Source organism: Homo sapiens, chromosome 1 (genome assembly GCF_000001405.40).
Source record: "Homo sapiens chromosome 1, GRCh38.p14 Primary Assembly".
In the NCBI taxonomy this organism is placed as follows: domain Eukaryota; kingdom Metazoa; phylum Chordata; class Mammalia; order Primates; family Hominidae; genus Homo; species Homo sapiens.
In genome coordinates, this window is record NC_000001.11 from 157,735,036 (window position 1) to 157,761,477 (window position 26,442).

Below are 26,442 nucleotides of genomic sequence, written 5' to 3' on the forward strand. Positions count from 1 at the left end.
CATAGTGTCTGTTGTTGCTATGTTTTTGTCCATATATACTCAATGTTTAGCTCCCACTTATAACTAAGAACATGTGATATTTGGTTTTCTGTTCCTGCACTAATTTGCTTAAAGTTATGACCTCCAGCTCCATTCATGTTGCTGTGGAGGACATGATTTCATTCTCTTTTATGGCCATGTAGTATTCTATGGTTATATGTACCACATTTTCTTTTTTGTTATTTGACTTTTAAGTTCAGGGGTAACTGTACAGGTTTGTTATGTAGGTAAACTTGTGTCGTGGGGGTTTGTTGTATAGGTTATTTCATCACTCAGGCATTAAGCCTAGTACCCATCGTTTTTTTCTGATCCTCTCCCTCTTCTCACTTTCCACCCTCTGATAGGCCCCAATGTGTGTTGTTCCTCTCTATGTGTCCATGTGTTCTCATTATTTAGCTCCCACTTATAAGTAAGAACATGCAGTTTTTGGTTTTCTGTTCCTGTGTTAGTTTGTGAAGAATAATGGCCTCCAGCTCCATTCATGTTCCTGCAAAGGACATGATCTCCTTTTATATGGCCACATAGTATTCCATGGTACATATGCACCACATTTTCTTTATCCGGTCTACTATTGATGGGCATTTAGGTTGATTCCATGTCTTTGCTATTGTGAATAGTGCTGCAATGAACATATGCATGTATGTGTCTTTATAATAGAACAATTTATATACCCTTGGCTAGATAGTGGTATTTCTGTTTTTAGGTCTTTGAGGAATTGCCACATCATCTTCTACAATGGTTGAACTAATTTACACTTCCGCCAACAGTGTATAAGCATTCCTTTTTCTTCGTAACTTCACCAGCATCTGTTATTTATTTATTTATTTTTATTTTTATTTTTTTGAGACGGAGTCTCGCCACGTCACCCAGGCTGGAGTGCAATGGCTTGACTTCAGCTCACCGCAACCTCCATCTCCCGGGTTCAAGTGATTCTCCTGCCTCTGTCTCCCAAGTAGATGGGATTACAGGTGCTCGCCACCACTCCTGCCCAGCTAATTTTTTGTATCTTTAGTAGAGCCTGGGTCTCACCATGTTGGCCAGGCTGATCTCAAACTCCTGACCTCATGATCCGCCCACCTCAGCCTCCCAAAGTGCTAAGATCACAGGCGTGAGTCCCCGTGCCTGGCCACATCTGTTATTTTTTTTAACTTTCTAATATTAGCCATTCTGACTGGTGTGAGATGGTATCTCACTGTGGTTTTGTTTTGCATTTCTTTAATGATCAGTGATGTTGAGCTTTTTATCATATGATTGTTGGCTGCATGTATGTTTTCTTTTGAGAACTGTCTGTTCATGTCCTTTGCCCACTTTTTAATAGAGTTGTTTGTTTGTTCTTTTCTTGTAAATTTGTTTAAGCTCCTTATAGATGCTGGATATTAGATCTTTGTCATATTCAGTTTGCAAAAATTTTCTCCCATTATGTATTTGTCTCTTTACTCTGTTGATAGTTTCTTTTGCTGTGCAGAAGTTTTTAGTTTAATTACATCTCATTCATCAATTTTTGCTTTTGTTGCAATTGCTTTTGGTGTCTCTGTCATGAAATCTTTCCTCATTCCTTTGTCCAGAATGGTATTGCCTAGGTTGTCTTCCGAGGTTTTTATAGTTTTGGGTTTTACATTTAAGTCTTTAATCCATCTCGAGTTAATTTTTGTATATGGTGTAAGGAAGGAGTTTTAATTTTCTGCATATGGCTAGCCAGTTATCCTAGCACCATTTATTAAATAGAGAATGCTTCCCCCTTGTTTTGTCAATTTTGTTGAAGATCAGATAGTTGTAGCTGTGTGATCTTATTTCTGGGTTCTCTATTCTGTTCCATTGCTCCATGTGTCTGTACGAGTACCATGCTGTTTTGGTTACTGTAGCCCTGTAGCATAGCTTGAAATTGGGTCGTGTGATGCCTCCAGGTTTGTTCTTTTTGCTTAGAATTGCCTTGACTATTTGGGCTCTTTTCTTTTTTTTTTGGTTCCATGTGAATTTTCAAATATATTTTTTTCTAGTTCTGTGAAGAATGTCAATGGTAGTTTAATAGGAATAGCATTGAGTCTATAGATTGCTTTGGGCAGTATGGTCATTTTAATGATATTGATCCTTCCTATCTATGAGCATTGAATGCTTTTCCATTTGTTTGTGTCATCTCTAATTTCTTGGAACAGCAGTGTTTTGTAGTTCTCCTTGTAGAGACCTTTCATCTCCCTGGTTAGCTGTATTCCTAGGTATTTTATTCTTTTTGTGGCTATTGTAAATGGGATTGTGTTCCTTATTTGGCCCTCAGCTTGATTGTTATTGGTATTTAGGGATGCTGGTAATTTTTGTACCTTATTTTGTATCCTGAGACATTGCTAAACTTGTTTATAGCTTAAGGAGCTTTTGGGCTGAGACTATGGGATTTTCTAGATATGGAATCATGTCATCTGAAAACAGGGACAATTAGAATGCTGGAGAAGATATGGAGAAATAGGAACGCTTTTACACTGTTGGTGGGAGTGTAAATTAGTTCAACATTGTGGAAGACAGTGTGGTGATTCCTCAAGGATCTAGAACCAGAAATACCATTTGACCCAGAAATCCCATTACTGGGTATATACCCAAAGGATTATAAATCATTCTACTATAAAGACACATGCACATGTATGTTTATTGCAGTACTGTTCACAATAGCAAAGACTTGGAACCAACCCAAATGCCCATCAATGACAGACTGGATAAAGAAAATGTGGCACATATACACCATGGAATACTATGCAGCCTTAAAAATGATGAGTTCATGTCCTTTGCAGGGACATGGATGAAGCTGAAAACCATCATTCTCAGAAAACTAACACAAGAACAGAAAACCAAACACCACGTGTTCTCACTCATAAGTGGGAGTTGAACAATGAGAGCACATGGGCACAGGGAGGGGAACATCACATACTGGGGCCTGTCAGCGGGTGGGGGTCTAGGGGAGGGACAGCATTAGGAGAAATACCTAAAGTAGATGAAGGGTTGGTGGGTGCAGCAAACCACCATGGCACATGTATACCTATGTAACAAACCTGCACGTTCTCCGCATGTACCCTGGAACTTAAAGTATAATTTTAAAAAAAGATTTTTTTCTTTTGCATTGACCTCGGTGAATCTGATGACTATGTGCCTTGGGGATGGTCATCTTGTATAGTGTCTAGTCAAGGTTCTCTGTATTTCTTGGATTTGCACGTCAATCTCTTTAGCAAGATTAGCGAAATTTTCATGAACTATATCCTTAAATATATTTTTCAAGTTGCTTATTCTCTCTCCTTCTCTATCAGGTATGGCAATGAGTCATAGATTTTGGTATCTTTACATAATTTCATATTTCTCAGAGGTTTTGTTCATTTTTATAAATTCTTTTTTCTTTATTTTTGTCTGACTGAGTTGGGTCGATGAACTGATCTTTAAGCTCTGAGATTCTTTCCTCAGCATGTTCTATTCTGCTGTAAATACTTCCAATTGTATTATGAAATTCTAGTAGTGAATTTTCAGCTCTAGAAGTTCAGTTTGGCTCTTTCTTAAAGTTACTACTTCTTCTTTCAGCCCTTGGATCATTTTACTGGATTCCTTGGATTTCTTGGATTGGATTTCAACTCATTCCTGAATCTTGATGAGCTTTTTTGCCATTCAGATTCTGAATTCTATGTCTGTCATTTCAGTTATTTCAGAATGGTTAAGAACCATTGTTGGGAAGCTCCAAATGAGTGGACTCATTTGGAGGTAAGGAGATGTATTAGTCTGTTCTCACATGGCTAATAAAGACATACCTGAGACTAGGCAATTTATAAAGGAAAGAGGTTTAATTAACTCACCGTTCCACGTGGCTGGAGAGGCCCCACTATCATGGCAGAAGGTGAATGAGGAGCAAAGTCATGTCTTACGTGGCAGGAAGCAAAAAGAACATGTGCAGAGAACTCCTTTTTATAAAACCATCAGGTCTCGTGAGACTTATTCACTATGACAAGAACAGCACAGGAAAGACCTGCCTCCATGATTCAATTACCTACCATCAGGTCCCTCCCACAACACATGGGAATTATGGGAGCTACAACTAGAGATGAAATTTGGGTGGGGACACAGCCAAACCATATCAGGGTATATTCTGGCTTTTAGAATTGACAGAGTTCTTGTGCTATTTCTTTCTAATCTGGGAAGGTTGGTGTTCCTTTAACTGTGGTGTAAGTTGGATATAGTCAGTTGGCTTCATTTCTGGGTGCTTTCATGGGGGCAGGGCTCTGTATAGGATCTTTATGCGTGGTAAAGTCTTGCACTTGGTTTCACAAGTGTATATATAAGTAGGGTAATTTTTGCCATCAGTAGATGGCAGAGAGAGTAATGGCTGGTAGCTAGGATAATACCCAGCCACAGGGCTCTTTGGTACTTTCTCATATTCGCAGACATGCTCCACAGTGGGAGGTGGGGGGAGATTGCTCGCTCACTAAGTACATTCCTGGGCTTTGGGGGAGCCCCCTCTGGTCACCGGCACCACGTGACATTTCTTTTGTTAAGTGTTCCAGGCTGTGTGAGCTCTCTTGGGCAGAGGCCCTGACAGGAAGACAGGCTATACCTTTTCTGAACCAGCCCTGTGAAGGGAGGCATGCCTCATTCCTGACTCAGCCCAGGGACTCATGCATCTTGCCCCTGTCAGTATTCTGAGAGTGGGGACTCCTCCCCTACTTCAGTTCCAGTCAGAGATCTTGGCTTGGTACTCCTGAGCTGTGCACCACAGCCCTGGGGATGCCAGGACATCCTGCAGCTAGGGGTCAGGCTTCAACTGCACTGGAGAATCCAATGTGCTCCCAGGTCACTGGAAAATTACTCAGGTGGAGCAGCACACTCAGGCTGGGCTATAGAAGCTGCAGCATACACCCAGTACTGTGAGGTGGCCAGCGGGGCATGGCCCCTGGAAGGAGCCATTGGTCAGAAGGGCTTGCAGAACAAACATACCCTGGTCCCACAGGGTCACTGGTCTTACTCTCTCCCTGGCTCAGCCATCAGCTGAGGCCATTGCCTGCTGGAGGGTGATGGGGAGCCCAGAGGGATTGGAGCCTATGGCTATGCTCTGCTGGAGCTGCCCAATGCACAAAAGCTGCTCCCAGGCTTTGTATCATCTGAAGTCTGTCTCTGCTCCCTGGGGAGATCCCCCTGCCAGTTCACATGTAAATGGGGGACACAAGGCCCCCTGTAACTAGGGGTCCAGAGGTCCACGGTGAGAGTGAGCCATCTCTCAGTTCTCCTGCTCATCCATTTCCCAGGAGTCACTGGGGCCAGGAGCTAGCTCTGGTGTTCAGACACCTCACACAGGGTTCCCAGCTTCCTCCTTCAGCATCTGCTTCAGTGTCACCTCTTTACCCACTCTTGACATTTTCTCTCCATAGATCTGACCAAATTATGCTGATTTACTCAATAATTTGTCCTCTCTCAGTGGCAGTGGTGCTTCTTGGCTGAGTCTATTAGAGAATCTTGTCCAAAAACCCAATTGCATATTTTGAGCAAACTACTTAATCTCCCTATCCCTCAGTTTCCTCAACTATAAATGGGGGAATAACCCATAAAATAATTATAGAGATTTAATAAATATTTGTAAGTTGCCTAGCCCCTGACATATAAGTAGCACAATATAAGTGGTTATTACATAAACTATGCACAATTATTACTCATACTTCAAATTCAGTATAAGAAGTTTCAAAAAGCTGAGAAATGAGGATCTCTAATCAAATAACTTTCAGAGACAGCAATCAGAATTTTAACCACAATGCCTCTTTGCTTAACCATTGTATAATTCCCTCTCCTGACAAAGGTAGTTCACCAATGGTAATGACATAGCTGACTGTGGGCTTGGGTTTGATATTTAATTTGCCCAGAAATAATTTAGTATGCTGTACAAACTACATAGAATAAAGTTCATCAGAAAAAAATAAATAATCTAGAATGGATATAATTATTGTAAATATTAAAATTTTTATATTGAAATGATTCTATACACATAGGAAATTGCAAAATAATGTACAGAGAGGCCCTGTGTAAGCTTAACTCAGCATCTTTCTATGAGAACATCTTGAATAACAGTACAGCTATATCAAAACCAAAAAATTGGTATTGTTACCATCCACAAATTTTCTTCAAATTTTTCACGTTTTTAAAACTTGTGTGTGTGTGTGTAAGTTTGCATGTGTGTGTATGTGTAGTTTTATGCAATTTTATCCCATGTGTAGCTTTATGTAATGACCACCATAATGATCAGGAGAAATAACTGTCATCACCAGAGGACTACTCTCTTTTGCTACATGTTCACAGTCACGCTGGCCTTCCTCCACTCTTAATCTCTGGTTTCAACCACTGATCTCTTCCCCATCCATATAATTGTGTTATTTAAAAATGTTATATTAATGGAAGTATGGAAATAAGTGGAAATCAATCTTTTTAAATAGATTTTTTTCACTCAGTACATTCCTTGAGAACCATCTTTGTGTATATCAATAATTTGTTCCTTTTTATTGCTAACATTCCATGGTATCAATGTACCAAAACTTGTTTATTCATTCAGTGAAGGACTTTGAGGTTGTTTCTAGGTTTTAGTTATTATGAATAAAGCTTCTATATACACACATATACAGATTTTTTATGAACCTAAGTTTTCATTTTCTCTGGGATAAATGCTCACAAGTGTGATTGCTGGTTCTTATGGTATACACATGTTTAAAAAGGAAATGCCAATTGTTTTCCAGAGTGGTTACCATTTTACATTCTCACCAGAATTGAATGAATGATCTAGAATCTTTGTTTCCTTGCCAGTATCCCTTGTATGCCAGCGCTGAGAAACCTTATTCACGAGAATAGGTAGATTGGAATAAAATGACTTTTTACTTAAAAAAAATAAAAATTTCACACAATTTTTCTAAGGATCATTAATGTGTCTTTATCACTTAAAGACACCTTGTTTAATCCAAGTATACAGGAAACATTGAGAAAAATAAGAATACCCCAACCTGCTTGACTGTCCTCCTTAAAAGCTCATTTAAACAGTGATCTCCTTTAACTGGCCGTTGGTCCTGTCCAGTGATGGCTGTAGGTAGGCACCATGGCCATGCCTTCGGTGTTCTGATAGCTGCTGGCTCTAGGGTTAATTGTAGGGATGAGGTTACCCCATTTTTTTGATAATCCCATGGGACATCCCAACTTTCAGTCCTGGATGCTTAGAGAATGTCATATCTCCTTGTAAGGCGACATGATTACCATTTTTCATTTTAGCCATTCTGATAGATGTGTAATGATATCTCATTGTTATTTTAATTTATATTTTTCTAATGGCTAATGTTGAATAACTTTTCATGTGCTTATTATCTATTTTCTGTATTTAAATCCTCTTTGGAGAGTGTTCACGTTTTGTCCATTTTTAAATTGGATTGTTTATTTTTACTGTTGCATTTGATAGCTCTTGATAATGTCTAGATACAAGTCATTTGTTGGATATTGGATACAAATGTTTTATCTAAACCTTTAAATTGCTTTTTCATTCTATTAACAGGATCTCTTACAGAGTAAGATTTTTAATTTTGAAGAGATCCAATTCAGTGACTTTTTCTTTTATAAATGTTTTCTATTCTTTATTTTAGTGTCAACTCTAAGACCTCTTTACCTAACCTTATGCCATCCCAAAGATTTTTTTCACATGTTTTTCTCTAAATTTACTAAATTTTTACATGTTACACTTAAGCATGTGATCCATTTTGAATTAATTTTTATATAGGATGTGAGACTTAAGTTAAGGTTCATTTCCTTTGCTTATGGATGTCCAATCTCTTGAGTACTATTTATTGAAAAGATTACCCTTCCTCCTTTCGATTGCTTTATAGACTGTCAAAAATCATTTGAGCATATTTGTGTAGGTCTGTTTTGGAGTTCTGTGTTCTGTTCCACTGACCTATGTGTCTATCCTTCCACCAGTAACATCCTGTCATTATTACTGTAGCTATATAATAATCCTTAACATCAGGAAGAATAATTTCTCCCACTTTAGTAATTTCTCTCAAAACTCATTTTACTAGCTATTATTTTTAACAATGGCTAACGAGGAAATATCAGCTATAATATAATCATACATCTTAAACTCTAAAAATAAAATTAGCATGATAGCTGCCAAGAATGGACAGACCAAAATAAGGGAACAGAATTACAGTTCAGAATAGACAGTGAAGATGAGAAAAAAGTGATATTTATATAAATTTAACAAATTATGACCATGAACACTGGCTCATGTCTATAATCTCAGCACTTTGGGAGGCCAAGGCTGGAGGATCACTTGAGGCCAGGAGTTCAAGACTGGACTGGGCAACATTGTGAGACCCTCATCTCTACAAAAATATCTTTAAAATTATCTGAGCAAGGTGGCATGTGCCTGTAGTTTCAGCTATTTGTAAGGCTGTGGCAGGAGGACCACTTGAGCCCAGGACGTCAAAACAGTAAGCTATGATCATGCCACTGCACTCCAGTGTGGGTGACAGAGCAAAACCCTGCCTCAAAATAAATAAATAAATAAAAAAGCAGTAAAGAAAGTATCATAAAGAAGAGAGATATTTGTTTCAAGATTATTATCATCCTCATTATTATTTTTATTTTCATGCTGAATTTCTTTTCATATTACCATTAAAATGACCAAAGAAACAAAAATTAGGAGAAATGTGTGTAAGCACAATGACACATATACAACAGAAATTTTGATAAGATTTCATGTAGATAGAAGCAAATAAATGGAAATACCTTTGAGTGTCCCTGGGAAAGAACTTCATAGGAATTAAGCACCCTAAACATCCACCACCTAATTTCTCATCTCTGAGCATCCGGGACTGAAAGTTGGGATGTCCCATGGGGTTATCACAAAATGGGGTAACCTCATCCCTACAATTAACCCTGGAGCCAGCAGCTATCAGAATACTGAAGGCATGGCCATGGTGCCTACCTACAGCCATCACTGGACAGGACCAATGGCCAGTTAAAGGAGATCACTGTTTAAGTGTGCTTCTAAGGAGGACAGTCAAGCAGGTTGGGGTATTCTTATTTTTCTCAATGTTTCATGTGTATTTGGGTTCAACAAGGTGTTTTTAAGTGATAAAGACACATTAATGATCCTTAGACAAGTCTTAAAAAAATTGTGTAAAACTTCTATTTTTTAAAAATAAAAAGTCATTTTATTCCAATCTGTCTATTCACGTGAAGGTTTCTCAGTGCTGACATCTGTAAAAAAGAAAATTAAAATAAAATCGAGGGTTGAGATTTTTGCAGACTTACATTCTATATCCCTAACACTTGGTTCTTGTAGATTTTCAATAAATGTCTGGTGAATCAGTTGACTAAATTTATTTGTGGATACATGTTTCAATTCGAAAATGTTAAAAAGTACTCCAATGAGTCATTAAGAGGTGGATTTTAATACAATTTACCTTTTTATGTTTAATAATTTTTGAAAAAATGTGTAATTTATTCCCATAGTTTTGATCAGTTTTGTACCTATAATAATTCTAAAGATAATTCAAAGCAGAAGAAATGTTTTAACACAGAGCCTTATGATCACAGAAATTTTTTTAAATTAAAGTGATCAGTAAAACATTTTCAGAAATAAAGATGAATTACATTGCACCTAAAATTTTGAATGAAAAAATGCCAATGAAAATGTGCATTCACAGCCATAAAATTTTTAAAAAAAAATCACATGCACGCAGCGAAGGGAACAATAGGGGGCAAGGTGGGGATGGTTAATAGGTACAACAAAATAAAAAGAATGAATAAGACCTACTTATTAATAGCACAATTATAATTGGTAATAACTTAATTTTATATTTTACAATAACTTAATGTAACTGGATTGTTTTAAATGCAAAGGATAAATGCTTGGGAGGATGGATACCCCATTCTTCATGGCATGATTATTACACATTGCATGCCTGTATCAAAACATCTCATGTACCCCATAAATGTATATACTTACTAAGTATCTCATGTACCCCATAAATATATACACTTACTACATACCCACAAAAATTTAAAATTTTTCTTTGAAAAAGAAGACAACAATAGACGCTGGGGTCTACTTGAGGGTGGAGGGTGAGGAGAGAGTGAGGATTGAAAAATTACCTATTGAGGGCGCATTGGCTCATGCCTGTAATCCCAGCACTTTGGGAGGCCGAGGTGGGTAGATCACGAGGTCAGGAGATCGAGACCATCCTGGCTAACACGGTGAAAACCCGTCTCTACTAAAGATACAAAAAATTAGCCGGGGGTGGTGGTGGATGCCTGTAGTCCCAGCCACTTGGGAGGCTGAGGCAGGAGAATGGGGTGAACCCAGAAGGCGAGCTTGCAGTGAGCCAAGATCATGCCACTGCGCTCCAGCCTGGGTGACAGAGCAAGACTCCGTCAAAAAAAAAGAAAAAAAAAAAGAAAGAAAGAGAAAAATTACCTATTGAGTACAATGCTGATTACCTTGGTAACAATCTATACCAATCTGTAATCTGTACACCAAACCCCTGTGACATGCAATTTACCCATATAACACACCCACACATGTACCCCCTGAACCTAAAATACAAGTTGGAAGAAAGAAAAAAAGGAAAATGTGCATTCACAGAAAAAAGAAAATATGATAGTATCAAATCTATAGATTATTTACATTTTATTCTATATACTTACAAAAGTAATATCATAGTTTATTGCAAATACTCATATTTACTATGTCAAAAATCACATTTTTGCAACTATATGCATACTTTGGTGATATTGCAGGTTCAGTTCCAGACTACCAAAATAAAACAAATGCTGCAATAAAGCAAGTCACACAGATTTTTTGGTTTCCCAGTGCATATAAGTTATGTTTACACTCAAGTCGATGCACATAAAGAAGAAAATCTGGAGGAAACGGCTAAATTCCTGGAAACACACAATCTCCCAAGATTGAACCAGGAAGAGACAGAAACCCCTCCTAGACCAATATCAAGCGCTGAAGTTGAATTAGTAATAAAAAACTTACCAACCAACACAAAAGCCCTAGACCAGATGGATTCATAGCTGAATTCTACAAGATGCAGAAAGAATAACTGGTACCAATCCTGCTGAAACTATGCCAAAAAATCAAGGAGGAAGGGCTCCTGCCTAACTCATTCTATGAAGCCAGCATCAGCCTGATACAAACATTCTGGCAGAGACACAGTGGAAAAGAAAATTTCAGGCCAATATTCCCAATGAACATATTTGCAAAAATTCTCAACAAAATATTAGCAAACTGTATCCAGCAGCACATAAATAAGTTAATACACCACTATCAAGTCCTGTTCTCATCACTTCACAGTAGATGAAGGTGAGACCTTGTATCTCTTATTCATTCTTCCCTCAAATCTTTACACACTGATTGCTTAAGAGAAGGTAGCAGAAATAATTTATTTGCACAGTGTCTGGATGTAGCAGCAGTTCAATGAATATTGATAGGTAAAAGAAGATATTGGAGAAGAAACATCATCAGGACAAAAATGACAGGAGGTGCCTCCTGAGGCACGTTCTGGCTGTGGCAGGTGATAAGCCTCAAGCATTTTCATAAGGTTTTATAGCAAGTCTTAATGATGCCCCATCCTTGCTGTTGATCTTCCCTTCTGATTCCTCCAAGTGTTATGATTTCTTCACAGAAGAGTAGATGACTTGGGAGTCCTGGGAGAGACACACAGGAATAAAGACTGAGGTGATCAAGAAAATAAATAGGGAGAAGGAAGGAAAGATGAAGAAATTCCAAGGTGTCTAGCTCACCTTGTTCTCCAGAAGTGTCCTGATGTTTGCTGTTAAGGAAAAAGTAATAGTTCTGAGCTCTTGCATTCTTAATTAGGCCTCACTCCCAGACTTTATGCCCCAGGGCATAGAACTACTATGCTTAGTATGTGGAATCCCATTTTCTCCTGTTCTGTAAAATCCTTTCTTAAAGTTGTTAATACTGAAGTCCTTCTAAGACTCTATCCATCTTCCAAGCCCTCCACCAGCACTTACTAACAAAGCGCTTCCTTTCTCTAATGCAACTTCCCATAGGTCATTGTCTTTATAATTTTTTCCTCTTGACTTCTCTGTTGCAGCATTCTGTCAGGGCTGTTTCCTGTTCTTTCTCTATGTTCCTGAGATAACCAATCATGTGTGGTTCACCTCACTACATAGAAGGAAATTGGAATAGAAGCATAGATAACAGAAGACAGACTCTGAATCACATAGTATTTTGAGTCTGGTTGCAGGAGCTGCTTAGTGATGTCTGCTTCTTTTCCCCTTTTTCCAGGTAGGCATAGTGGGATGACATCCCTTTCCTTCCCTTGAAGATTTACAGCTAGAGGGCTTGGAAAGTGACTGCACTTTTTGATTCTGCTAGGCTGGTCAGATAGAGAAAGAGAATGATAGGGTAATCAACTCCCTATAGGAAGTTGAAGTGGCAAATCTAAGCAAGGCAGACAGAGGACCCACCTTCAGAGGCTCAGAGGAGAGTAGCTAGATGACCACTGACCAGGAAATCAGCCAAGCTGTCAACAGCCACTGGCTCCATCAGAGGCAACCAGGAGTACAGAACAAAGGACAGCTTTTAGGGTTGTTGATATAAGCATTGTAGTTTTAAGGGCACTGGAGCAGAAGCTTAAAGGACACTCCTCTGCACTGCTGCAGAACTCAGCAGTTCCTGCAAAGCTACGTGTCAAAGTGAAAATTCTCTAGGTCATGTTGATTTATTCAGTTATTCCTCCCATCCCATATGAAGACTACAGATCCTTCAAAAGAGACACTTTAATGACCCTGTTCACCTGAGAGAATTCCTCTTGGACTTTAGACATGCTCACTCTTGCCTGATTTCCTTCTTTTGCCTTGAATCTTAGATTCTCCCTGACTATCTAACCCGATTCAAATGAAGACTCATTAGACCATCACCCTATTTTTTTTTTTAAGTTTGCTCTCTTCACAAGAGCCTACCTCCAGGTGTCTCTTGCTCCCTCCTGGATCAACAGATTTCCTATCAAGGGCAAGTGATGTATTAAAGCCTCTATTGCTGGCTGGGTGCAGTGGCTCACACCTGTAATCCCAGCACTTTGGGAGGCTGAGGCGGGTGGATCACTTGAGGTCAAGAGTTTGAATCCAGCCATGGTGAAACCCTGTCTCTACTAAAAATACAAAAATTAGCTGGGCGTGGTGGCGCATGCCTCTCATCCCAGCTACTCAGGAGTCTGAGAGAGGAAAATCAAGCAATTTTCCTGTATCAGCTCACAGGCAGAGATTGCAGTGAGCTGACATTGCACCACTGCACTCCAGCCTGGGCAACAGAGCAAGGCTCCTCAAAAGTAGATAGATAGATAGACAAATAAATAAATAAATAAATAAATAAATAAATAAATAAAGCCTCTATTGCAAACAATGCATCACTTTCCTGTGAATATGCATCTGACAAGAACTACTTTGCAGTTTCTCACCTGAGCTTTCTGGCTGCTGCATGCTCCAGACCTGAGAATAAACCACATCCACATCTACAGAGCCCACTGCAGGGAGAAGACAAGAGTTCACAGATGTTGGTGGCCCAGGGTTCACACTTCATACACAGCTTCCCAGGCCCTGGCTTAATGATTATATCCTTCCTCTCAACCCCAACATGATTCTGAGAGAGTCTGTTATTTATTGGGAATGGCTGGGCCTCTGGTGTTGGGGTGTCTACACCACCCACCTAATGGTCTCCGCTCCTGTCTCCTCTTTCTTTTCTGACTCAGCCTCAGAGCCCTTCCCAGTGGAGACACTCACCATTGACATACACTGGCTGCAGCTCCTCCATGTCTGGGGTTGGGCTTGAATAGGTGAACTCTTGAGGATTTGGCCTGGAAGCCCCTCTGTGAGAAAGTGAATTAATTGTATGATAATCCCCAGGGCAGTGAGTGAGAACAGAGGGGAGACTGGCTGAGGAGAGAGCAGGTGGAAGCCCTGCAGCCATGGCTCTCTGCTTGGGTGATTTTATGGCCCTTTGTGTAGACTATCTACTTTGATATGGCCAAAACTTCTGTTCCTTATCTTTGGCTTTTTCAAAAGTTATAAATAAGACAATGATATTGCTCCAGAATCTTTTTTTTTCTTATAAACTGTCATAAAACTTTGCCTGCCTTTTTCTCATTACTTTATCTCTCTCACTCCTTCTTGTACTCTGGACATATACTACATACCTATAGCACAGTATGTCCCTGGAGGAAATACACATTTTGTGTGTATGTTCTTTCCTCTAAATATCTAACAAAAACTTACTTATACATTATAGGTATTCAATAATCTTGAATATATGAATTTATATATTAATTTAAATGTATGTAATCCTATACAAGATAACACCAAGGATCATGTGGACCACCTTAAGACAGTGCCCTGGTGGCAGAAATGTAATGCAGTAGAGACAAGAGTAAGTATTATAGAAAGATACCATGTTAATTACATAGCTTCAGTCTCAACGTACAAGCAGAGTACAGTAGGTATTTAAAACTGAATGAAGGAGACCTCTAGAATTAAAATTTTTACTAGGAAGAGTTCTCACCTGGGTTCATTAGTGGCAGAACTTTCTCCTGAAATGCAAATAAAACAAAATTCATTTCAGAGAAGGAAGCTTTATCTCTTAAAATTTTGACATGATTTAACTACGTATAATCAGCTGGTAAGACATAAGATATAGAAGAGTAATCCAATTGTATTTCATCTAAATGGCTACTTATTTATTCCAACACAACTAGTTGTTAGTAAAATAATTCATTCTTTTTTTCCCACTGATTTAAAATGCCACTTCAAATGGCAAACCCGTCATGCACTGGTAACTGTTTCTTTATTTTCTATTCTGTTCTATTGTCTCTTTGTCTATTCATGTACCTGTACAATGTTGTTTTAACTATCCTAATGTATAACATATTTTAACCATTGATGACTAATTTTATTTTATTGCTCTTCTGTATTAGATTTTATGCAGCCATTCTTAATTTTTAAATGTTTGATATTTGCAACACTTAGTCTTTAGGAATGATCTTGGGGCTAAGCTGGATGTTGACATTCGTAAGGCGAACTAGGCCATCTCTTGTACCATTTTGCTTTGTGGAGAGATGTAAAACAAGAAACGCAGTATATTAGCATAGATGTATCAGCTGTGTGTTTAAAGAGAATCCTCATAGCGATCCAGGAGATATTTTCTAGTCCTCCATTAATACCTCAGGAAACAATGCCACATAGATGTATATAGAGGCCACCCCAGCTCAAAAGCTTCATGCTTCGTAGAAATCAGTATCGCTTGTAACACCCATGAGTGTATGTGTGTAGCTTCCAGAGGTCACTACTACAAGAGACATGCTAAATTTCAAGAGTTACATTGCATTTGGGGATACCCCAGTTGTGCTTCCCATCAGGCTTATATAATCGTGGTCAAAGTCCTCCCAGTGTAGAGGCAGTTTGCCTATCATGGAAAATACTGCTAGTAGCTCAGCCAATATTTCAACTTTGTTAGGCTTTACAGAAAACAGTGCTAGAAAATTAACTTTGATTTAGTTTTCCAAGGAGAAGGTAAAACTTCTTTATAATTAGCTTGTTTAGTCTTCATGGAAAGGAATGACCTCAGAATTGTCTACCAAGCCAAACTGTCATTAAAGCATAAGTAAGGGGCAGTCAGTCATATTCAAACATGTATTAAATTAGTGTATATGTTTCCAGCAATTCCTTCTTGAAGAAATTATTTTAAAATGGACTTCAAAAATAGTTCTACTATCTAAGCACTTTTGAATAATAACAAAATGTGATGATACATTGGTTCACAAAGAAAACCTCCAAAATATTCCAAAAATCGACATGGTACAAATAATATTCCTTGATCATAATGGAACTGGTAATTCATAACAAAACTATGAAAAAATTGACATATGTCTATAATTTGTCAATTTAAAGGAAGCAAGTCTTAAGCAACTGAATACGTATACAAATATATAAGAAAAAAAGGAAGACTCAATATCCAATTTGTTCAAAAGAATCAAACTAACAAAAATAGAAGGCAATAACTAACAAAGATAAAAGCAGAATTCTAGAATTAGAAAGAAATATTGGTAGATCAAATAATAAATTCTAAGAGTTTTACCATACAGGAGATAGAGGCACTATCTTTCTAGATGGTTACATTTCAAAGGGCTGGCTCCCAAGTCTTAGAGATAGACATTTCTGGGTTGTAAAACTGGCAAGAGGCTAAGAGAAGATTTATATCTCAAGGAGGCAGAGAAAGAATTTACAATTGCAAGTTTTCTAAAGTAAATGCTCTAAGAAAAGGGAGATGAGGAGCCTATAGTCAATCGGAGGACAATATTAAGGCCAGCTTGGTGTGGGGAGGAGTGCCCCGTGTGGACACATGCCTGAAAAATCTTAAGGAGCCTTGAAAAGCAGATAAAGGAACATTCATTTCAGGGGAGATACGGTCATCTGCCTGAGGCAGGAGCTGCATATTTACAGGTGGGTGCAATGGTGTGCAAGTGTTTCTTGTGGATGGATCTGAGCCCTGTGGAAGAGAGGCAAAGCTTGAAGCCATTTCAAAATCTGGCCAAGAGGACTTCCTGAAGAGGTATAGGGTTCCAAAATAAGGGTGGAGGGGAAGAGGAAGAAGACTTTAGATTCTTGGAAACTGAAGAGAGATGTTAAGTGCTCAGCTGGAGAAGAATGAATCACCTGCATCACAAGATGCAGGTAGGTAATGTTAATAGTTGGGGGGCTCTGGAGAATCCAGAAACACACCCCCAAAATAGGAGCTGATTTTCTCAACCGAGCAAACCTGGAGAGTCAGCTTTTTCAGAGCCAGAGGAAATCAATGCCAGCCATGGGGGTTTCAAAAACAGAAGCAAGTTGAGGAAAGAGAGAAACATCTGGCCAGAACCCTTTCCATATTGCAGAAGGCTGGCCTGAAGAGGGTCTGAGCTGAGTGGGTGGGAGGTGAGTGCTTTAACTTTGAGATTCAGAAAGCTGCTTAATGAACAAGCGCTCTTTGGAGAAACTATGTTTTTGTTGTTGTTTGCCTAAAATTATATAGGAGTGATATGGTGTGGCTGTGTCCCCACCCAAATCTCATCTGGAATTCCCACATGTTGTGGGAGGTACCCAGTGGGAGGTAACTGAATCATGGGAGCAAGTCTTTCCCGTGCTGTTCTCATGATAGTGAATAAGACTCACAAGATCTGATGGTTTTAAAAAGAGGAGTTTCCCTGCACAAGCTTATCTCTTTGCCTGCCGCCATCCACATAAGATGTGACTTGCTCCTCCTGGTTTTCTGCCATGACTGTGAGGTTTCCCCAGCCATGTGGAACTATAAGTCCAATTAAACCTCTTTCGTTTGTAAATTGCCCTGTCTCAGGTATGTCTTTATTAGCAGCATGAAAACCGACTAATACAAGGAGTAAGTGGATAGACTATGGGCCTGCCTGCGATTTCAACCAGAGTCAGGGAAAATATAATCCTCTAAGACTGAGTGTGAATGGGCAGTAGGAAGAGGAAGATAAAAAATTAAATTTTATGGTTGCACTCTAAGAGTACCCTTGTTAGATGAATCAGTTATCATAGCAAAAATTAATCAATATCTCAGGAGTAAACTTAGCAAGAAATGGTGAAAGCCTATATAAGTAAAACTCTAAAATACTATGACTCAAAATTTACCAAAAGTAGACACACTCTTGGATAGAAACATTTCTCATTATAAAGCTGTCAATTCTTCCTTAATTAATCTCAAAATTTAAGAGAATCCTAACAAAACTACTTTGTTGAGAGACACTGATTATATTGTTTGTAGGGAAAATAAGTAAGCAATAATATCCAGAAAAGTTCTGTAAGAATAGCATAGTCATGATGGGAACAACCTTGATGGAATAAAAAATGTATTGTTATAAAGCGAAGGCATACAAGTCACACACACAAACACACGTATGCACACACTGACATACACACAAACAGAATAGGGCATCAAAGTTAGATCTGAATAGTATCAGATATTTAGTATAGCTGAACTGCTTTTATCCATGACCCTTCTGTTGCCGTGTGTGTGGGGTTTTTCTTCCCCATACCAGTCAATTTTCCAACTCTTAGGACACTAATTACAATTAAACTCAGTCCTGATACTACTCAGAGTTAGTGCAGACCCCATAGGTAAAGGGGTGTGTCCCACAAAACTGCCCCCAACCCCAGATGCCAATAATATGTCATGGGCCTCATATCTTTCTGACCAAATGGCTATAAACTGGGGATTCCCAGGACTCTTTCCTCAGTTTCAATAATTTGCTCTATAGAACTCGAAGAAACACTTCAGTTACTTTTACTGGTTTATTACAAAGGATGTTATAAAAGATACAAATATACAACCAAATGAAAAAGTTTAGGTAAGACAATGTCTGGAAGTGTACTGAACACTGGAGTTTCTGTTCCCAAGGGAATGGGGTGCTCTACCCTCCCAGTACATTGATGTATTCACCAACTGGCAAGCTCGCCAAATCCCATTGTTTAGGATTTTTATAGCGGTCCCATTACATAGGTATGATTGATTAAATCATTGGCAATTGGTGGTTAGATGAATCTTCAGTCCCTCTCCTGTCCTCAGAGGTCCAGGGGTGAGGCTTAAAGTTCCAACCCTCTAATCACAAGGTTGGTGTTTCTGAAAACCAGCTCTCATATTGAAGCTATCCAGGAGCCCCTCTGTTGAGAGTCATCTCATTAGCATACCAAAGACACTCAACACTCAAGGAATTCTCAGAGTTTTAGGAGCTCAGGGGTCAGGAACTAGGGACAAAGACCAAATATATTAAATAATTTCTTCTTATATCACAATACCATAGGGTATTATAAAGGCATCACTTTACTTAAAAAAGATAATTAAATAAATCACATAGAAATAATGAAATAGCTATCTGAAAAAAAAGATTAGATTCTAGTTCAGTACCTATTGAAGAATATTTCTGGATGTGTCACAGGTATTTGAACCAGAGCAACTCCATCTTGAACAGGAGTTGGGTAAAATGAGGCTGAAACCTACTGGGCCCCATTCCCAGACAGTTAGGCATTCTAAGTCACAGGATGAAATAGGAGGTCGGCACAAGATACAGGTCATAAAGACCTTGATGATCAAATTGGTTGCAGTAAAGAAGCCAGCAGAAACCCACCAAAACCAAGATAGAAACAAGAATGACCTCTAGTTGCCCTCACTGCTACACTCCCACCAGTGGCATGATGGTTTACAAATGCCATGGCAATATCAGGAAGTTATCCAATATGGTCTAAAAAGGGGAGGCATGAATAATCCACCCCTTGTTTAGCATATCATCAAGAAATAACCATAAAAATGGGCAACAAGGAACCCTTGGGGCTACTCTGCCTATGGAATAGCCATTCTTTTATTCCTTTACTTTCTTAATAAACTTGCTTTCACTGTACGGTATGGACTCGTCCTGAATTCCTTCTTACTTGAGATTCAAGAACCCTCTCTTGGGGTCTGGATCCAGACCCCTTTCCAGTAACAGATGGATCAAAAATTTAAGCATAAATATAAAGTGATACAATTCTAGAAGAAAATATGGGCCTGGCACAGTAGCTCACACCTGTAATCCCAGTACTTAGAGAGGCCAAGACTGGTAGATCACTTGAGCTCAAGAGTTCGAGACCAGCCCGGGCAACATGGAGAAATCCCATCTCTATAAAAAATACAAAAATTAGCCAGTCACGGCGGTGCATGCCTGTGGTCCTAGCTACTCAGGAGGCCGAGGTAGGAGTATCACTTGAGTCCAGCAGGTTAAGGTTGCAGTGATCCGAGATTGCACCACTGCACTCCAGCCTAGGTGACAGAGAGAGACTCTGTCTCAAAAAAAAAAGAAAAGAAAAGAAAAAAAGGAGAACTTTTTCTATCATCTAAGAATGGGGAAGACCTTCCAAAATACGTTACCAAACCTAGAACCCATAAAAGAAGATACTGATAAGTTAGACCACATAACAATAATTATTTTTATAGTAAGAATTTCAATATGAAAGGCAATGCAAACTGCAGACTGGGGACACTTTTCACTCTTCATACCTCAGACAAAGAGCTAATACATTTAGTATAAACAGATCATCTACAAATCACTAAGAATGAGATAAAAAACCCAACGTAAAACGATGAAACTATGTGAACAAAGAGCTCACCATAAACAGAAACATAAATCAAAACTACAGGGCAGTAATGTTTCTCAATTGAGAAACAGGCAAAAAAATCAAAACTTACAATACTTTGTGTGGCTGGTGTGTTATAAACAAGCATGTTTATGACATGTCCTTACGGGAGTATAATTTTGTACAACTATGAGTAACCCTTGACAATATCTATCAAATTATAAAGGTATCTAATTTGAATATAGAAATTTTATTTATAAGAATTAATTCCACAGGCATACTGTACATGTAAGAAATGACATCTAAAAGAAAAATTATCGTAGCATTGTGTGTCATGGAAAACAACTTGAGATCATCTAAATCTCCATCAATAGGTAATCATTAACATTAAGATAACTATTGCAAATCCATGAATAGAATTCTTTGCAACCATTAAAAAGATGTTACAGTTCTATACATATTTATATCAAACAGTTCTCAAATAATATTCATAGAAAAGTGAAGTGTAGCACATAGTATGTTATTATTTGTGTGAAAATAAAGAACATGTATGTATACAATGACATCACATAAGTCTAAAATATCTCTGGAAAAATAAATGAGATATTGCTAAGAGTGGGAGCCTCTGAGGAAGGGAACCAAGAGGTCCAGGAACAGTTGTGAGAGAAAGGATTACTTTTTACTGTCATATTCTTTGATATTGTATGAATGTTTTACCAGATGTATTTGTAACATATTTATTCAGTTATTTATTTTAAAGAAAAAATAAAAGGTATTGGGCCACTCTGAAAGGGACTATGTTAATAGTTTATTTTAGTTTATTTTAGGTTGACATAGAGGTATCATGGTCCTCATGATAAGAGATTAGCCAATGAAAGAAAGCATTGCTTTCATTAGGCAACAGCCACTGCCTTGTCCTTATATTTCTATGCTGTGCAAAGCACAAAAGTTAATGATTTAGGGTATGGCTAATTTATGTAGGGGTCCGAGGACCTTCATGGAAGGAAAGGGATCAAGATGCTGACTTTCTTTAGTTATTAGATCATCTTTTGATAAATTGAGGTGGTCCCAATTAAGTCATCTACTTGAAAGAAAGAATTGTCTTAAGTGAAACTCACCATGAAATAAATTGCCAGTTTGGGATATCTGGCCAGGCATGGTGACTCATGCCTATAATCCCAGTGCTTTGGGAGGCCAAGGTAAGAAGATCGCTTGAGCCCAGGAGTTCAAGACTAGCCTTGGCAACATATAGAGTCATCTCCAGAAGTAATTAAAAAATTAGCAAGGCATGGCGAGCATGCCTGTGGTCCCATCTACTTGGGAAATTGAGGCAAGAGGATCACCTGAACTTGGGACATCAAGCCCGCAGTGAGCCATGTTCATACCACTGCACTCTGGCCTGAGTAGCACAGTGACACTTTGTCTGGAAAAAAAAAAAAAAAAGGTTGGATATCTGAAGGTCAAAGCCATGACCTGAGACTGAAAACTTCTGAAGCAGCCTAATTTTGGAAGCAAATTTAGTAAAAAATAATTTTGTGTGGTTGTGTGCTTGTAAACTAAAATGTAATAGGAAGATAGTATGTGAGGCAATACATATATTAATTAGTTCAATCTAGCAATTCCACAACGTATACTTATTTGAAAACATCATGCTGTACATAAATACATGCAATTTTTATCTGTCAATTAAAAATCAATTAAATTTTTTTAAAGTTACAAGAGTGGAAGTGCAGGTCAAAAACCATGTGGTACATCCATGCAGTAAAGGTTCCCAATTTGTTCCTATCTTCTTGTATGCATTGTTTTGCAGTGTGACTCTGTCATTTGTCAGCAAAGAGGTAGACACTTTTTCTCTACCACTTGCATTTGGTTATGACCATATGACTTACTTTTTGATCAATGGGACTTTTTGATCAATAACAAAAGTGACAGATTAGGAGGCTTATATTAGCACTTGTCCTTGCTTGGGCACATTTATAAGCTGAATGTTTGTGTCCTGCCCAAACTCCATATATTGAAGTACTAATGCCAAATGTGATTACAGTTGGAAATGGAACCTTTACAGAAGTAATTAATTTTAAGTGAGATCATAAGGGTGGAGCCCTGATACAATAGGATTAGTGTTCTTATAAGAAGGGACGGGTTGAAGGGTACAGCAAACAACCATGGCACGTGTATAGGTATGTAACAAACCTGCACGTTCTGCACATATACCCCAGAACTTAAAGTATAATTAAAAAAAAAAGAAAGAACAACAGAGAATTTGCTCTTTCTCTCTGCATGTACACAAGAAGAATTCGTGTGAGCACATAGCAAGATGGTAGCTGCCTGCAAGCTAAGAGAAGAGGCCTCAGAATGAAATTTATCTTGCTGGCATCTTAACCTTAAACTTCCCAGCCTTTAGAATTGTAAGAAAATTAATTTTGGGGGCTGGGCACGGAGGCTTACACCTGTAATCCCAGCACTTCGGGAGGCCGATGCAGGTGAATCACGAGGTCAGGAGATCGAGACCATCCTGGCTAACACAGTGAAACCCCGTCTCTACTAAAAATACAAAAAATTAGCCAGGCGTGGTGGCGGACGCCTGCAGTCCCAGCTACTGGGGAGGATGAGGCAGGAGAATGGCGTGAACCCAGGAGGCAGAGCTTGCAGTGAGCCTAGATGGTGCCACTGCGCTCTAGCCTGGGTGACAGAGTGAGACTGCGTCTCGAAAAAAAAGAAAATTAGTTTTTGTTCTTTAAGCCACCCAATCTGTGGCATTTTGTTATGCTATCCCAAGAAGACCAACACAGACACCCTACACTGTCTTCACGGGAAAGAACAACTATTGTCTTTTGTAAGTATAAAAGAGTTGAAGATGGGCTTGGTGTATCATGGCGTACATCTGAGGTAACTTTCTCGTTTTGTAAGTGAGGAAACAGAACAGAGTTGGTTACCCAAATAGAGGGTGGCCATTTCACCCTTGAAAGAGCAGTGATGAGGCAGGAGGCTCTGTAAAAGAATGAGGAACTGGGAAAGATATTTTGGGAATAAAGTAGCAGAGAGGGGTAAAGAAGCGTAATATCAGACTTACTTAGATCATCTGTTTAAAAAATAAAACTTCCATTGAACTTGAGAATACTGGCTTGCACAAAAGGGAAAAAATACCTAGGAATACAACTAACCAACAAGGTGAAAGAACTCCACAGCAAGAATTACAAAACACTGCTGAAAGAAATCAGAGATGACACAAACAAATGAAAAAATATTCCATGCTCATGGATAGGAAGAATCAGGGTTGTTAAAGTGGCCACACTCTTCAAAGCTATTTACAGATTCAAGGCTATTCTTAGCAAACTACCAATGACATTGTTTGCAAAATTAGAAAAAAAAATCTAAAATTCATTTGGAACCAAAAAAGAGCCCAAATAGCCAAAGCAGTCCCAAGCAAAAAAAAAAAAAAAAAAAAAACAAAGCTGGAGGGCTAACACTATACAACTTCGAACTATATGACAAGGCTACAATAACCAAATAAGAAATAAAGCCATACATCTACAACCATCTGATCTTCTACAAAGCTGATAAACACAAGCAATGGGGAAAGGACTCTCTAATAAATGCTGATGGGATAACTGGCTAACCATATGCAGAATATTGAAACTGGACAACTACCTTTCACCATATACAAAAATCAACTCAAGATGGATCAAATTCTTAAATGTAAAACCTAAAACTATAAAGATTTGATATGGTTGGGCTGTGTCCTCACCCAAATCTCATCTTGAATTGTAGTTCCCATAATCTCAATGTGTTGTGGGAGGGACCCGGTGGGAGGTAATTGAATCATGGGGCTGGTTACCCCCATGCTGTTCTCGTGATAGTGAGTTAGTTCTCATAAGATCTGATGGTTTTTTTCCCACTTTGCTTGGCACTTCTTTCTCCTGCTACCCTGTGAAGAAGGACATGTTTGCTTCCTCTTCTGTCATGATTGTAAGTTTCCTGAGGCCTTCTCAGTCATGTGGAACTGTGAGTCGATTAAACCTCTTTCCTTTGTAAATTACCCAGTCTTGAGTATTTCTTTACAGCACTGTGAGAACAGACTAATACAAAACTCTAGAAGAAAACCTAGGAAATACCGTTCTGGACATTGGCCAAGAAAAGCCTTCATGATGAAGACTCCAAAAACAATTGCAATAAAAACAAAAAATTGACAAATGGGACCTAATTAAACTAAAGAGCTTCTTCACAACAAAAGAAACTAACAAAGTAAATAAACAATCTATAGAATGGAAGAAGATATTTGCAAACTGAGCATCCAACAAAGCTTTAATACCTAGAATCTACTAGGAACTCAAGCAAATCAATAAGTGAAAACCAAACAACACTATTTAAAAATGGGCAAAGGACATGAACAGACACTTCTCCAGAAAAGACATATATGCAGCCAAAAATCATATGAAAAAGTGTTCAATATCACTAACCATTAGGGAAATGTAAATCAAAACCCCAATGAGATACCATCTCACACCAGTCCGAATGGCTATTAAAAAGTCAAAAAATGAGATGCTGGTGAGGTTGCAGAGAAAAGGGAACAATTAACACATTGTTGGTGGCAATGTAAATTAGTTCAGCCACTGTGAAAAACAGTCTGGAGATTTCTCAAAGAACTTAAAATAGAACTACCATTTGGCCAAGCAATTCCATTACTGGGTATATTCCCAAAGGAATATAAATCGTTCTACTGTAAAGACACATGCATGTATATGTTCATTGTAGCACTATTCACAATAGCAAAGACATGGAATCAACCTAGATGCCCATCAACAGTATACCAGATAAAGAAAATGTGTTACATATACACTATGGAATACTATGCAGCTATAAAAAATGAGATTATGTTCTTTGCAGCAACATGGATGGAGCTGGAGACCATTATCCTAAGTGAATTAACACAGGAACAGAAAACCAAATATCACATGTTCTCACTGATATGTGAGAGCTAAACGTTGAGTGCATATGAACACAAAGAAGAGTACAACAGATGCTGGGACCTATTTGAGGGTGGAGGGAGGGAAGAGAGTGAGGATTGAAAAGCTACCTATTGGGGCCAGGCGTGGTGGCTCACTCACTCCTGTAATGCCAGCACTTTGCGAGGCCGAGGCGGGTGGATTACTTGAGGCTAGGAGTTCAAGACTAGCCTGGTCAACATGGTGAAATGCTATCTCTTCTAAAAAAAAAATACAAAAATTAGCTGGGCGTCATGGCAGGCACCTGTAATCTCAGCTACCCAGGAGGCTGAGGCGAGAAAATCGCTTGAACCCGGGAGGTGGAAGTTGCAGTGAGCCAAGATTGTTCATTGCACTCCAACCTGGGAGACAGAGTGAGACTTTGTCAAAAAGAAAGAAAGAAAAGAAAGAAAGAAAGAAGGAAGGAAGGAAGGAAGGAAGGAAAGAAAGAAAGAAAGAAGGAAAGAAAGAAAGAAAGAAAGAAAGAAAGAAAGAAAGAAAGAAAGAAAGAAAGAAAGAAGAAAGAATGAAAAAAGAAAGGAAGGAAGGAAGGAGGGAAGGAAGGAAGGAAGGAGGGAAGGAAGGAAGGAAGGGCTGCCTATTTGGTATCATGCTGATTACCTGGGTGACAAAATTATCTGTACACCAAACCTGCAAGACAACCAATTTACCTATGTAACAAACCTGCACATGTACCTCTTGAACCTAAAATAAACGTTGGAAGTAAAAAATAAAATAAAATACTAGCTTAAATGTTTACTATGTGGAAGAAAATTAATGAGTTCCAAAATTTATTTCACCTGTTGCAGTAGATAAGTGTAAGAAAGCGTTTTACAAAAGCTTCAAAGCTATCATTGAGATTCTGATGTGCCCCATGTTTGTCCTGTATCTGATAGGTTAAAATAAATAACACCTTACTGACATAGGTGAAACTTATGGGAGGAGAATAGGTAAAGCCAGGTGGTGCAACAAAGTTAGGTTTGAGGCATAGTAGTCAGGCAGATACAGGTTCTGGTCTGCCCTTTACTGGCTGAGTGAGCACAAAAAAACCCACTTAAATTCCCCAAGGTTGTTAGACATAGAAAACAGACACTTAGGCTGGGAGTGGTGGCTCACGCCTGTAATCTCATCACTTTGGGAGGCTGAGTCAGGCAGATCGCTTGAGCTCAGGAGTTCGAGACCAGCCTGGGTAACATTGTAAAACCCCATCTTTACAAAAAAATTAGCTGGGTATGGTGAC

General features: G+C 38.7%; 1 protein-coding gene across 13 annotated transcripts in view; it reads right to left on the reverse strand.

Moving 5' to 3' along the window:
• Nucleotides 1-10,697: 10,697 nt before the first annotated feature.
• The window catches only part of FCRL2 (Fc receptor like 2), a 31,400-nt gene continuing 15,655 nt past the window's right edge, over nucleotides 10,698-26,442 (reverse strand). For 4 of the 13 annotated variants that reach the window (XM_047430275.1, XM_047430273.1, XM_047430270.1 and 1 more), the window contains 5 exons: nucleotides 14,615-14,642; nucleotides 13,840-13,925; nucleotides 13,518-13,583; nucleotides 11,836-11,864; nucleotides 10,698-11,739 (listed from right to left, as the gene is read on the reverse strand). In XM_047430275.1, the coding sequence (XP_047286231.1) occupies nucleotides 11,701-11,739; nucleotides 11,836-11,864; nucleotides 13,518-13,583; nucleotides 13,840-13,925; nucleotides 14,615-14,642 (248 nt within the window). In that variant the 3' untranslated portion in view covers nucleotides 10,698-11,700. Of the gene's footprint in view, nucleotides 11,766-11,835; nucleotides 11,865-13,517; nucleotides 13,584-13,839; nucleotides 13,926-14,614; nucleotides 14,643-26,442 lie in introns of all 13 variants that reach the window. The other 9 variants (XM_017002319.2, XM_017002318.2, XM_017002317.2 and 6 more) reach the window with 5 other exon arrangements.